Genomic DNA, 14,270 nt, shown 5'->3' with positions numbered 1-14,270 from the left:
CTCTCCTCTTACAATAAGCAGCAGGTTCCACTTGCCAACTGCCCTCCTCAGCAGGAGGTTCAAAGGCCCGTTCCAGATGCTGTGGCACTGGGCCGCCAGCCACCTCTCTTCTTTGACAAAAGGCTTGCTTGGACATTTGTGACCAGCTTTTCAAAAAGATCTTGAGTTGCTTTTGAACTTCATATCCAAATGAACTCTTTTAGAAGATAATACCCACCCACCCTCTCATTTTCTACAGGGAAGATAAGTTTACCAAAATGACCCGCAATGCCCACCCCTGACTTTTGGTCACCCAGAGTGACTGTGTTCCAAGGCGAGTCAGATCACTCGTACCTCTGCTCAGCACACTGCGTGGTTCCCACCTTGCTCACAACCAGACGGACCTCCGCAGTCACCACCAACTTATCAGAGCTCATCTCGCCTTCCTTCCTTCCTTCCTTCCTCTCAATCACCTCCACCATGCGGGCTTTCCTAAAGTTCCTCAAACACACCCCGGCCCTTCCGCCTCAGCGTCTCCATGACTGCTGTTCCATCAGGGCGCATGCGCTTCCCCACTGGGATAGCCCCAGGGCTGGCTCCCTCACCTCCCTCACCTCCCTCACACCTCCACTGTCAGGTCTCCCCATTGCCCCAGAGTGTCCTTCCCCAACCCTGGCTGCCTCAGTCTCTCTCCATGGCACATTATCTCATCTTTCACCTGTGCACATGTATCATTTCCCTCCCTATTGGGATGTAACCTGTTTTATTCATGGATACATCCCAATAGTCACAGAGTAGGTGCCAGCAAACATGTGTGGGGTGGACCGAGGACACATGTTCCTACAGTGCATGTAGTTAAGGAACTGCCTTATTATTGGGCACCTTGTATCTGGAGAGTCATTAAGCAATAATTCCTCTTGCCCTAAACCCTGGTAACCTCTTATCTACTTTCTGTCTGTATGGACTATTCTGGTTATTTCATATAAATGGAGTCATATGACATTTGACCTTTCGTGATTGGCTCATTTCACTCAGCTTATTTTCAAGGTTCATCACAACTCCTTCCACAAAGTCCACTGCTGGGGGACCATCCTAATACACATCTAGCTTTCTATGACACGACATGCATGCTGATGGCAACACCACAGATGGGACCCGCCCTGGTTGGGTGCAAAGGCGACACCAGCCTTCTGTGATACTAGCCTTCCATCAGGACAAACTAAATTAGCTCCCTCTGTATTGGCATTGCATTGTGAGCCTGGGGTGGAACACACTGTCCTAAATGCCAAGGTATTTTTCATGTGTACTAAAAAATCTGTATCCTGCGCTATAATCAGCAGTCCACCTGAATTACATTTCTCCTTGCTCAGTTTAATCTCAGTGGACTGGCTCTAGCATTTCCAGTGAATGAAGTATCTGCATCTTGGTTCTCATCTGTAATGCTCCTTCCTGCTTCTGCTCTCCCTGCTTTTAGCTTTCCACATGGCTGACTACGAGGCTTCTGGGCCTTTACGCCAATCACTCAAATCACTCATCTATGCTGCAGGAGATAACTGGCTGCAGGAGATAACGCTGGCGGGAATACCACATGCTATTCTATTCAAACTCGCCCTCAGGCTGATGATGGTCAGCTGACAAATTTCAGCCACCTGCAGAAACTCCAGCTTCACAATCACCCGGCCCTTCTCACTGCTCTATCCACAGGGACATGCGATAGTGAGGAATAAACTGACATTTTGCCGCAATCTAGATATGCAATGTCCATGGCACTTCCTCACTTAACTAAGTTATTCCATCAATGAGGAGTCGAAGTTGATGGGACATGACATTTTCTTAGTGAACTCACGTTGACTGCTAGCAACCTCCACACAAACCGTCTGTTCTCAAACTGCTAAGCATCAGCTCTAGGCTTGCCAGTCTATGATTATTAAAATCTACCCTCTCCTGACCGGGCACGGTGGCTCACGCCTGTAATCCCAGCACTTTGGGAGGCCAAGGCGGGCGGATCACAAGGTCAGGAGATCGAGACCTTCCTGGCTAACATGGTGAAACCCCGTCTCTACTAAAAAAGTATAAAAAAATTAGCTGGGCATGGTGGCGGGTGCCTGTAGTCCCAGCTACTCGGGAGGCTGAGGCAGGAGAATGGTGTGAACCTAGGAGGCGGAGTTTGCAGTGAGCCGAGATCACACCACTGCACTGCAGCCTGGGAGACAGAGTGAGACTCCATCTAAAAAAAAAAATCTACCCTCTCCCATTACCCTCACACTTTTTTCCACTGTAAGGCAATCTTTGCTTGGTATCAGACTTAAAACTTCATTCATTCTCCATGGCACTTTAAAGATCATCTGTATTTCCAAATTCTTTCTATTCTCCAGGATCTAGCCCTGATGACTACAATTCACTTAAAAGGCCTCTCTGTTTATTCAACAAACACTTGCTGAGTGCCTACTGTGTGCCTGGTACGTGGCTTTGTTTAGAGTCTGCACTTCCAGTTCTACTTGGTGAGGAAGTTAAAAGCAGGCCAGCAGCTGACATCTGCTGAACCCGTACCATCATCCCAGGAAATTCGCCATCCTTTCCCTTCTGCTTCTGACCATTGTCTTAATAGTAATAGCCTATGGCTATTACTGGTGTTTTATTTTATTGTGGGAAAAAATATATACACATATATAAAACATAAAATGCCATCTAATCAGTGTGCTATTCAGTGTCATTAAGTACATGCACAATGTTGGGCAACCATCATCACTGTGTATTCCTAAAACTTTTCCATCACCCCTAATAGAAACTCTGTACTCATTAAGCAATAATTCCCTCTTGCCCTAACCCCTGGTTACCTCTTACCTACCACCTTCTGTCTCTATGGACTATTCTGGATATTTCAATTAAATGGAGTCATATGACATTTGACCTTTTGTGACTGGCTCATTTCACTCAGCTTATTTTCAAGATTCATCCACATTGTAGCATGTATCAGTACTGATTCCTTTTCATGGCCAAATACTACTCCATTGTATGGATACAGCACATGGTCTATCCATGCATCTGCTGAGACACTGGGGTTGTTTCCACCTATTAGCTATTATGAATAACACTGCATTGGTGTATAAATATCTGTCTGAATACCTATTTCAATTCTTCTGGGTATACAACTAGCAATTAATTGCTAGGTAATTAATTACAACTAGCAATTAATTGTATCGTAATTTTATGTTTAACTTTTTGAAGAACCACCCAACTTTCCCACGGTGTCTGCACCATTTTATATTCCACCAGCAATGTATGACAGTTCCAACTTTATTTTCTTTTTAACAATCGAGTTCATCTAGACTTTAGTCTCCCTCACCCCATTCTTGTAAGTTTGCTTAAGCCATTTTAAAAATTAATCCTTGGCCTTAAGCTAATGATTTTTAAAAAATCAGAATGCAAGAGGGAATTTTCTTTAAGTCCACCATGACACACTATCTTACTGCATATGGATTTTCATCTCCCACATTCTCGTCAATGGAGACAATGAACTTTGCAATCTGATGCCTGGATGTGAATTCTACTTCCCACTCTCGGGATCATGAATGTTTTAGTTTCCTACGGTTGCAGAACTAACTGCCACAAAGTTAGTGACTTAAAACAACACAAATGTATTATCTTACAATTCTGGAGGTCAGAACTTGGAAATGGGACTCATGGAGCTAAAACCGAGGTGTTAGCAGAGCTGGTTCCCATGGGAGGCTGTAGGGAGAATTGGTTTTCTTGCCTTTTCCAGATTCTTAGCAGCTGCCTGCATTTCTTGGTTTATGGCTCCATCCTCTACCTTCAAAGCCAGCAAAGCCAGAGGAGTCTTTCTCCTATTGCATCACTCTTGACACTGACGATCCTGCCTCCTTCTTCCGCTTTTAAGGGCTCTGTAACTACACTGGGGCCACCTAAATAATCCAGGATAAACTCCCATTTAAAGGTCAGCTTATTTGCGCCTCAGTTCCCCTTTGCCATGTAACCTAACACAGTAACAGGTCCTGGGGATGGGATGTGGATATCTCTGAGGGCCATTACTCTGCCTGCCACTAGACAGTAATGCCCTACTCAGGCTGTTTCAAGGATTATTTGTATTTCTAAATTCTTTCCATTCCTCGAGATCTAGTCCTGAAGACAAACTCATTTAAAAGGCATCTCTACTCATTTATTTGACAAACACCTACTGAGTTTTGAGTTAATGAAACAAAGCATGTTTATATTTTGGGTTTTTGTTTTTGAGACAGGGTTTGCTCTGTCACCCAGGCTGGAGTGTAGTGGTGTGATCTCGGCTCACGGCAACCTCCATCCCCCAGACTCAAGCAATCCTCCCACCTCAGCCTCCCTAATAGCTGGGACCACAGTCGCATGCCACCGTGCCTGGTTAATTTTTGTATTTTTTTTGTAGAGACGGGGTTTCACCACGCTGCCCAGGCTGGTCTTGAACTTCTGAGCTCAAGCGATCCACTTGCCTCAGCCTCCCAAAGTTATCGGATTACAGGCATGAGCCACCATGCCTGGTCCAAAACAATGCATGTTAAAAACTTAGAGCCTGGCACCCAGCAAACAATCAAGGCATCTATTACCATCTTATCATCCTTGTAACTTTATCATCTCTTCTGGAAATATGCTCCAACCCAGAAGAATCTACTTCTTAGTCTAAACTTTCTGCGACCGTGTTCCTAAAATCCAGTGTTCTTTTCCAGCTATGAAGTCCACAACATGACCTCCCTCCAGGTCCTGAGGACTGGTCTGCCTTCTCTGTTAAGGCAGAATTGTTGCTGAGAGCAGCATCCCTCATGGCTTTCCCTACCTGCTAGGAGACGAAACACCCAGCAGGGCCAGCCAAGAGCTCCTGCCACGCTCTGGTTCTAGCAGTGGTACTGACATTCCCTCCGCTCCATCTGGCTGGTCTGCGATCTGTTGGGCACTGTCCTCCTTAGCCTCCACCTGGCCCAACGATTTGTAGCATGACCCCAAAGCACCCTCAGCTTGGCTCCTCCGCACTGTATCTGCACACCAAGCCCTCTAGAAGGTCCCAATGCCAGACTCACGGAATTCAGACGCCAGAGAGATGAAGAGAGTTTTTACAGAAGGCAAACTCCATCCTCCATCGCAACCACGTACTTCCGCGGAAGGCGTTCACTTCCACTTTGCATGCCGGCTGGGATTTGTGGTCCAGTGTCACAGGGTGAAGTGATTCCTCACGGGTGAACATGGAGCTGTCTCAGGCCCCAAGGTTTATTTCTAAGCAGCTACTCTGATATTGATCACGAGGTATATTTAAGTTTTTTGTTTTGTTTTTTCAATGCCACAAGTATTGTCTTTTATTATATCTGGTTCTCAGTTTTAAAAGCATGTTTTCCCCTTTCTGTCTCAAAATGTGCTTGAAACTCTTGGTTAGGTCAGACGTGAGTATCACAACAGAGGCTCCCTGTTCATTTCTTGAGCTGCACTCTGGTCCTTGCTGAGATGAGAAGTCCAAATCCTCCTCAATACTGGGGCCTCTATCACACGGTCAGCAGGTCTGGGGACGCGGGAGCCTCCATGCCAGCGTTTTCAGGGTCAGAAGAGCAAATCAGCCGTGGATCTGGCCCGCAGACTGAGAGCCTGGGCTGTGCTCATCAGGGGTCCCAAGGAGACTCAGGAGCTGGGCACAGCCCAATGCACAGATGTGACTGAGGCTGCGCAAGCAGGGAGGGAGCCTGCAGGGGCCTTGGGGAACGTGCAGGTGCCACACACTCACCTCCCATTTCTGAGGTGGGGGGATCGGAGACCCCTAAGCCAGCACAGGGGTCCCTCCCTCTGAGACCATGACCAGAACCCCTCCTACCTGTCATTTCAGGGACTGGGCTCACCCAACGCCCCGGCTGCCTCCAGCAGGAGATTCTGCTCCTGCTGCCCAAATGCTGTGGGGCAGAGCTTCTGCATTCCTCTCTCGAAAGGCTGGGTCATGTCCTCTCATTCATCAGCTCTCGACTACAATTTCCTTCTGTCACCTCAGAAATCGTATTTTCTTCCTGGCTTCCTCCCAGGCTCTCACTTTCATCTGTCTAAGGACAATCCCTCCTTGCTAATAAACCTCAAGTGGGAGGGCCAGCCCCTCCTGCCGGCCCTTTCATCTGCCCTTTGCACAAGAAAACCAGCTCTCACCTGGGCATACGACCCGCCGTGGCCTCAGCCTACAGCCTGCGGTTCCCACACAGGCCCTAGAGCTTTCTTTCCTGCCCTAAATTCCAATTCTCAGATATTCAGATAAGCTAAGAATCCTCTTGGCTCCCCCTGAAAACTCCCCAGCAAAACTGCCAGCAATTGCGGGCTTTGCTGTTTACGTTCTCTTAGGTCAAGAGTGTGCTGGGGAAGGTGGCTCCGTAATGTTCTTTGGAAATCTCATTAATCCAAGTCTTTTATTAACTGTATCCTCTCACTACCTAACCATGCTGGGGTAATTGTCTGACTTTGTGCCGTGCCAGCTAGCATCAGAGGTGGGAACACTACTCCTTGACCCATTCCTTTGGCTTTGTCATTGATTTCATTGAGAAATTAAAGGCTTTCTACATTTATGTTACGGTTAAAGAGATCATGAACAAAAACATAAATGTAAACCAATGGTAGATAATTACACTAAAATGGCATGAGTAAGCTCTGTATTCTGTAAGTAAAAGCCTCAAAAGAAAACAATAGCAATGGTTAAATAAAGCACAATAATTCTTAAGTGTCAGCGAAAAAAAGGGTGAGAGAGAGAAATTCAGAGTATTCGATTTAACAAATAACTTGGTAAATTTAAACTAAAAGCATTGTACTTAAAATATGAACATATACTGACGATGTAAAAATCATTTGGAAAGCTCAATTTTGCTATTCTGAAACCACTGCAACTGTTATAAAATCATGTTCCCTGTCCTTATAAGGCTTTAAAACTAGGCATAAACTTCAAGATAATGAGCCTGTAAAAACTGTAATTGTTGTGGGTTATTATACAGGCTGTACAGGGTACTTTACTCGCGACTTACAGTCATGCTGGGCCTTAATGAGTCTAACTAAAAGACTTTTTAGCAATTTTCATTTTGTATGGATTAGAGAGTATTAGTGGGGCCCATATGGTCTTCTATAAATTAGGAGATCAAACAAGAGAGTCTTCTGCAGCAGGACCTCAGCTCTGGATGGCGTCTCTAACTCACCCATTCAAGTCAGTGGGGAGCAACTGCCCCCAAGGGTTACACAGCACCAGGGACCCCAGAGGTCTTGGACTCTGTCCCCATGCACCATTGGAGCTGAGATGAATGGACTTAGCCATCCAATCATGAGCATGCTGGCAACAATGATTCTGATCTATCTGTTGTCTGGAAGGTTTTAATATCACGGTCATATAAATTTCAACCAGTTTTATTTAATGGTGCTTTCCAAACGAGCAGCTGAAGAGCTGGAGAAACACATACTCCAGATGTTGGCTGGCCCAGGAAGCAGGATCAGCACTGAGGAAGAATCTGCCAGCAAAGTAATGATTCTACTCTCCTAAAAAGAGAGTTAAAGCCAGGACCCAAACTAAGTTCAGGCGCATATCTGGGAGGGCATTTATTGACCAGAGCACACAGTGGTAGTGAAAAACGAAAACAAAACCAACAAAGCAGATAAACAAATAAAACTCCCCAAAACTCAACTGTTTTTCTGTTCAAAGGTTTCTATAAAAATCCGTTCATGTGTTCTCAAAAACTCAGTTTGTTTCTGTTCTAAACATCTCACTTCGCCTTAGAGAGCATTCATTATTCTCTACAGATTGCTTTTGGTGATTCTGGCATGAGTGGGGTGGAAATTGTCGGGGAAGGTTCCATGAGATCCTGCTCATCTTAAAAGTGTGGGCTTGCGTTTGCTGAGTTTTGGCCACTAAAACTGTCCCCTCCTCCAGTCCCTGTCTCCACCCACTGGTGCTGGCAGCCGCTTCTGTGTGAATGTAGTACCTGCCATTCCTGGTATCGTGTTGCCGCATGTTCTTGATAAAATGAATCTTCTTAAAATTCTTTGGTCTGGGTGAACCTGAGAGAGTTCGACATCTGAAAAATAAAGTCATTTCAAAAACACAGTCAGTTGCCTGCTGGACAGCTGAGACGTCTCCACATAAAGACAGGAAGGAAGGACCAGACAAATGGCTTGAGTCACCCCAAAGCAGGCAGGAGTCCGCGAGGATAATGAAGACAACACGGCTGGAAGCAAGGAAGCTTAAAAAAGGCCCAATAATAGACAACTTCTTGATAATACTGTTATTATTTTACATGGGTCTCTAAAAAGCCAACTAATCAAGAATATTGTCCCCTGCATTAAAAAAAACAAAAACCTATGCAGATTCCAAAGACATTATTCTTTATTGTTGTCTTAAAAAGAATCCTGCTGTATCAACGAAGGGGAAGGGAACCAAAAACTGTACATTTAAAGGGGGTAGGGAAACATCGGAAAATTCAGTTCAAAAACAAGCCTGAATCATTTTTCTTCTGCAACAAGATTTTGGCCTGAATTACCTGGACAGCTGTCTTAAGTTTCAACTTGACCTGCTATGCCTGGGAGGTCACAGCTTTACACTGAATGAGAAATCAGAGACCCAACTAGTTGCTGTTTTTGTTTTGTTTTGTTTTTAAGATAAATTTTAAATAAACATTTGTTGAGCTAAAATGGCTTGGATTCAAGTTTTTTTAAAATTTTTATTTTGCTGGAGTATATAGCATTTGCCTGTACTATAGGACTGGCAAAATAGACCATAGGCCAAGGAGACCTTATTTGTGTGTAGTGTTTTCACCTGGCAAATTTTAAGTTACAAAACCACAATCACAACGACAGAAAAGCAAAATGCTCAACAAACAAGAGTCTCAGTTTATTCTAGATAAAAGGGGCTGTGACTTTTCGATTTTGGGTTTTGCTACCGAAAAACCTTTCTGACCTAGGCCACAGGAGCCAGCTCCTGCCATGGGACATGGGTGCCTGTGACCTGATTCTTGACTCTAAAGAAAGATTCTGGGCTGGGGCGTGGTGGCTCACGCCTGTAATCACAGCACTTTGGGAGGCCGAGGAGGGTGGATCAACTGAGGTCAGGAGTTCCAGACCAGCCTGGCCAATATGGTGAAACCCCGTCTCTACTAAAAATACAAAAATCAGCCTGGCGCGGTGGCAGGTGCCTGTAATCCCAGCTACTCAGGAGGCTGAGGCAGGAGAATCGCTTCAACCCGGGAGGCCGAGGTTGCAATGAGCCAAGATCGTGCCACTGTGCTCCAGCCTGGGTGACAGAGTGAGACACAGTCTGGAAAAAAAAAAAAAAGAAAGATTCTTTTAAAGGCTTGCAGAACCCTGTTTGAGGACATTTAGTAGATGCTTCCTGTGGCTTTCAGGAGGGGTTAGAGTGGGGTTGGGATTGACACTCCCCCACCCAACTCTAGGCCTCCAAACCCAGATTTTTTAATTTTTTAAAAAGAAAGACAAGGCCTTGCTCTGTCGCCCAGGCTGGAATGCAGTGGTGCCATCATAGCTCACTGCAGCCCCAAAATCCTCCCACCTCAGCCTCCCAAAGTGCTGGGATTATAGGTGTGAGCCACTGCGCCTGGGCCACTAAACCCAGATTTAATTGGCTAAGGTTCAAGGAGATAGGGCCTCACTCTGCCTTTTGCTCTCTGAGAGCAGACCCAGAACTCCAAACAGCCTCATTTCTTCCTCCAGAATGACTGCTCGAATCTGCAGGCCACTCAAAGTTCCCACCTGTCACACACACGCAAAGAAGGTTCTTGAAACATGGAGTCACTGGAAAGAGGAGAATCCCTGAAAGCATAAAGTGGTTTCTAGATAGGGCCAAGGGTTCAGAAGCATCCTTATACCACTTCCCTGGCTTCCTTTCCCAGGAGCAGAGCTTCCTGGGCCAGTCAATCTGAGGGCAGCAGGCCAAGAGCTAGACAGTGTGCGGGTTCAGGCGGCTCGCAGATCCTGCCACCTCAGCAGACTCTGGCTCCTTCCTCCCACCTCCCAGCTGCAGGAAGCTGGGACTGACGCCAGCACAGACGAAGGATGGCCTGAGTTGCTCTCTGCAGAAAGAGGGGCCCCAGATTCCTCAGCCTTCTTCTGGAAGTGGAAAGCCACAAAAGGGCCACAGGTGGCTGTCTGTACCAGCAAAGGAAGGAGCTGAGGCTGTGATCACTTTAACAGCTGCGGCCACCAGCATCCATCCACCCAGTCTGGAAAACCAGGGCAGGTGCCGATGGCAGCCACGTTTGCTGCAAACAAATAGAGGTTTTTCTTGACAACTAGTAGAGACGGCTTAACTCCTTATTTTTGGACACCAGGTAACCACTAGGCAGGTGCAAAACTTCTCAGTCCAAGTCCTCTCATGACGCATGCTCAGTTCTTGGAGTTACAGGTAGATACAGGAAATCCACTAACAAACCACGATGTGCTAGAGGAAAGTAGGACTTTTAACAGGGTAACTTAACAAGATGTTTTATTTCCATATCAGCACCCAATTCTAACTGCACATACACCTTACTAATCTAGCCCTTCATTAAGCAAGCTGTTTGTTGTGTTGCCTTTTTTTTTTTTTTTTTTTTTTTTTTTTTTTTTTTAAGCATTCAACCAAATCACCAGGGAATCTAAGAAATGCTTTAAGAGAATTGTGGCGTTGGCAACAATTGCCAAGGAACTGGAATACCGGGCGCTCAGGTTGGCAGGTTAAGCGAAGAATGAATTAATTTCACAGCCGCCTGCAACAGCGTGTAAACATCCATTTAAAAACATACATTTTAAGTGATGCAAAATTAAATTAGCATAGAATTAAATTAAAAACTAATTTAATGAAAGATTAGCTCTTTCTTGTTAGCACTGATTACAGGATATACTTAATTATGCAAAAGGTTTAATAGATTCCTTGGAGCCATTTGTTCTTCTGCTAAGCTTAAAAGCAAGTTGGGCTAATAGCCTTCCACCCCCACAGTTCCCAAAATACTTCAGCATCATTATTGGTGTTACCATTTCACAGACCAGAGAAGGCTTCAGCGATCAGCCAATTGGTCTTCCCATTTTATAGATGGGAAAACTGAGGCCCCAGAGACACTAAGTCAATTTACAATGCTACATACCCAGTTGGAGTCAGGCTAAGAACTCAGGTTCCCAGGCTCTCAAACTAATGTCTCTTCTTCTACATCATGCTAATATAACTCCTAGGAATAAGTGAATGTCTAAGTAAATATGAGAACAGTTATGCTTTTTAAGTTCTCTTTTTTTTAAGTTTTCTTTTTTAAGAAACTCCAGGCTAGAGTGCAGTGTTGAGCATAGCTCATTTAAGTCTTGAACTCCTGGGTTCAAGCGATCCTGTCGCCTCAGCCTCCTGAGTAGCTGGAACTACAGGTGCACATCCATGTGCCTGGTTAATTTTTTTTTTTTTTTTTTTTTGTAGAGATGGGGTCTCACTACATTGCCCAGGATGATCTCAAACTCCTAACCTCAAGCAACCCCTCTGCCTCAACCTCTCAAAGTGCTGGGGTTACAGGTGTGAGCCACCGTGCCCAGCCAATATGAGAACCTTATTTATTTATGTATTTTTGTGTTGACTGATTGATTGTAGACATGGGGGTCTCACTACATTGCCCAGGCTGGTCTTGAACTCCTAGACTAAGCAATCTTCCTGCCTCCACCTCCCCAAGTGCTAGGATGATAGGTGTGAGCCACTGCACCCGGCTGAGAACTTTTTTAAATCAAAAAAAGGTCCTTTAGTGGAATAAACACTTGATTTCTAAAACTCTTCTGATTTCTGACATTCTTAGAATTTTATAATAACAAGATTTGAGGTTCAGTGCAGTATTCTGTGAACGCTGGTACAAGTCACAGTTGAGGCCAACAAGCATTTTTACTGCATTCATTTGTGCTACCACAAGGCTGAGGACCAGTCTGGGTGGATTCCGTGAAGAGGGGTGACAGCGCACCAACCAGGAACGCAGAACCCACGTCCTCCTCCAGCCTCTCCTCGACACCTCGAGACTCAAGGACACTGCATCCCGAGGCTCAACAGCCCTGCCTGGGAATTCCTGAAGAGGGGAGAGCCCTCTGTAGCCGGTACCCCGAGTCACCCGGTTTCCTTCGGCTCACAGTGGCCACGTTGTTCCAAGGACCATGGCTTCTAGTAGCCTCTCGAAACTCCAGGGGCTTCTCAACGTTATTCATGGATTTTCCTGTGGCAGGAGTGAGGGAGCACCTCAGTCAGATCGCGATGTCACTCACTCTAACACCAAAGCCAGCCACTCAGTGCGCCTGCGAACACCTCTCCTGCATGCTCGCTGAGTATGTGGACCAAGGCCAGCTCCCTCATTTGACTTTCAGCGTAGCTTTCTGTATGACTCCTGCAGGGAAATGGCCTTCTCCCACTGAACTGCTCCTCACAGAGTAACACTTGTTCCCAGGCCGCGTTTGCCACACAGCCACATACCACACATCCTAGGAGGCACCTGGAGGTTACCCACGCTTTGAAAAAGACTCCAAAAGTGGAGATGGGACTATTCAGCCCTTTCTCTTTGGGATGATGTCAGTGACAAAGTTCACAGTTGCCGGACACTTCCCCTCTGACCCCAGGCTGTCTGTGCTCACTCTGCCCTCTGTTCTTCATGCAGGCGGAGCCTACAGACATGGGCTCTGCCCTGGGAGTGAAGCTTCAGGTGGGGAAGGAGCCAGATCCAGGGGGAGGCCATCTCCTACAGCAGCACCCTGCCAGGCTCAGAAGGAAGAGCCAGGCGCTCCCAAGTCCTGGCCTGGCCAAGGCACGCACGGTGCAGATGCGGGTTCGAGGAGGAGCTGATGGAAGTCCACAGGAGCTCACCTCCTCCCGATGCCCTCCCTGCTGCCGCCTGCCCTGCAGTCCCCGGGAAGCCCCTGTGCCCCATCTTCCTGGCTCACTCCCACATGCTGCCCCACCCAGCTCAGGGCTGCAGTGAGGATGGAAGGGGGTGCAGTACACCTGAGTGCACTCTCGTCCATGAGGGCCTGGCTGGGTTAGAGGAGAGGAACCTGTCAGTCACCGGCACAGCACAGCACAGCTCAGCAATGGCCATCACCCAAAAAGACGCCTTGCAAGCACTCTTCTAATCCCAAGGGAGAAACAGAACACTTTCAGACCCCAGAGAGCACTCACAACTATCCTAATTGGGCTTCCCAGCACCTAGCCAGGGAGCGACATCGTGGTTACCTCCTGAGGAGTTCTTGTTGCCCCTCCTGCTGAGAATGAAGTCCAGGACTGTACCTACTGTGTGACTGCACCTGGGGGATAGGCCGGGACAATGCTGGGCTCTTGTTCCATTAAGCAGCAGTTTACAAAATGAAGAGGCGCCACGGAAAGAAAAGCACCCAAATCTCCATGCAAATTGGGCTACTCCAACACCTAATTGGATTTAACGTTGTTTAGTTCTAGTGGTCTTCAGAGGTGGGTTAGACACTAGGAGATGTCCCATAGTCCCTGGAGTTCAGATGGTTATTTTTAAATTTAATTCTATAGATCAAGAAGTTAAAAAACCAAAATCAATCTCTGGCTGTCATGGTGTACTGTTTACATATACATAAATGAAACAGAAAATTACCTCCGGAGAGGGGCGTTCTCCTCAATATCTTCCAGGGTCTCCAAGGAAGATCTCTGGGAGATGAGGCGCCGTCTGCAGAAAGAAGGAAAAAATCTGGGAGTTAAAACTGCATTGCAGAACTGATCAGACATTTGTGCAAATCTAAAACTACCCTAAAACAAAAACATGAAGTCCGTTAAGAAAAGATCAGACAAAAGCTGTCTCTAAGAGGCTGCCATGTTCCCACCCTGCACGCCAGGCCCATCTTGCTGGCTGAATCCTGAACATTCTCCCTGGTTAGAGGGCCTCTTTGTGATGATTAAGGAAGTGACTGATCCTTTTGATGCTGACACTTCCCCCAAGGACACACACACACACACACACACAAAGACAAGGTGCCTCTTGTAATATACAGGATAACTTGAGCGCTGTGTGCAGCTTTTCTAAGGCATTAGCTAATACTGTTAAGTATTCCACTATCACTGATTTGAACCCGGTAACTGATAAATATTAAATCTGAAACCCTATTAAAAACAACTTCAAAATCATTAGGATGCAATAAAAAGGTTATGCTCCCTGGATGGCCATGATTTCAAAAGCAACTAGGAACAAGAAAAAAATTATTCCTTTGGGAGAGTTTCTCATAGACCGGGTAGAAAGAATAAATATATGGCATGATTACGCAAAACATTAACTCTTCTGGGCTGCTAAGGA

The 14,270-nt window shown here is 46.1% G+C and overlaps 1 protein-coding gene across 4 annotated transcripts in view, besides 3 other annotated features; it reads right to left on the bottom strand.

The window, feature by feature from the left end:
- Window positions 1–14,270, bottom strand: part of CABLES1 (Cdk5 and Abl enzyme substrate 1) — a 125,907-nt gene that overhangs the window by 57,984 nt on the left and 53,653 nt on the right. For all 4 annotated transcript variants that reach the window (NR_023359.2, NM_001256438.1, NM_001100619.3 and 1 more), the window contains exons 2-3: window positions 13,578–13,649; window positions 7,947–8,039 (exon numbers count right to left, since the gene is read on the bottom strand). Coding sequence is in view for 3 of the 4 variants with exons in the window: in NM_001100619.3 (NP_001094089.1) it covers window positions 7,947–8,039; window positions 13,578–13,649 (165 nt within the window). In the remaining variant the exon portion in view is untranslated. The remainder of the gene's footprint in view (window positions 1–7,946; window positions 8,040–13,577; window positions 13,650–14,270) is intronic.
- Window positions 5,788–6,384: an enhancer, noted in NCBI's record as "NANOG-H3K27ac-H3K4me1 hESC enhancer chr18:20776067-20776663 (GRCh37/hg19 assembly coordinates)". NCBI's record gives its function as "activates a minimal SCP1, AML or CMV promoter by ChIP-STARR-seq in primed H9 embryonic stem cells {active_cell/tissue: H9 hESC(primed)}" and the evidence as "EXISTENCE:reporter gene assay evidence [ECO:0000049][PMID:30033119]".
- Window positions 8,036–8,236: a silencer, noted in NCBI's record as "peak3070 fragment used in MPRA reporter construct". NCBI's record gives its function as "represses an SCP1 promoter by STARR-seq MPRAs in K562 erythroleukemia cells {active_cell/tissue: K562}" and the evidence as "EXISTENCE:reporter gene assay evidence [ECO:0000049][PMID:32103011]".
- Window positions 13,076–13,582: an enhancer, noted in NCBI's record as "H3K27ac-H3K4me1 hESC enhancer chr18:20768869-20769375 (GRCh37/hg19 assembly coordinates)". NCBI's record gives its function as "activates a minimal SCP1, AML or CMV promoter by ChIP-STARR-seq in naive H9 embryonic stem cells {active_cell/tissue: H9 hESC(naive)}" and the evidence as "EXISTENCE:reporter gene assay evidence [ECO:0000049][PMID:30033119]".

The sequence above is a fragment of the Homo sapiens genome, chromosome 18, assembly GCF_000001405.40.
Source record: "Homo sapiens chromosome 18, GRCh38.p14 Primary Assembly".
NCBI lineage: Eukaryota > Metazoa > Chordata > Mammalia > Primates > Hominidae > Homo > Homo sapiens.
This window is presented reverse-complemented; position numbering and strand designations above follow the sequence as displayed.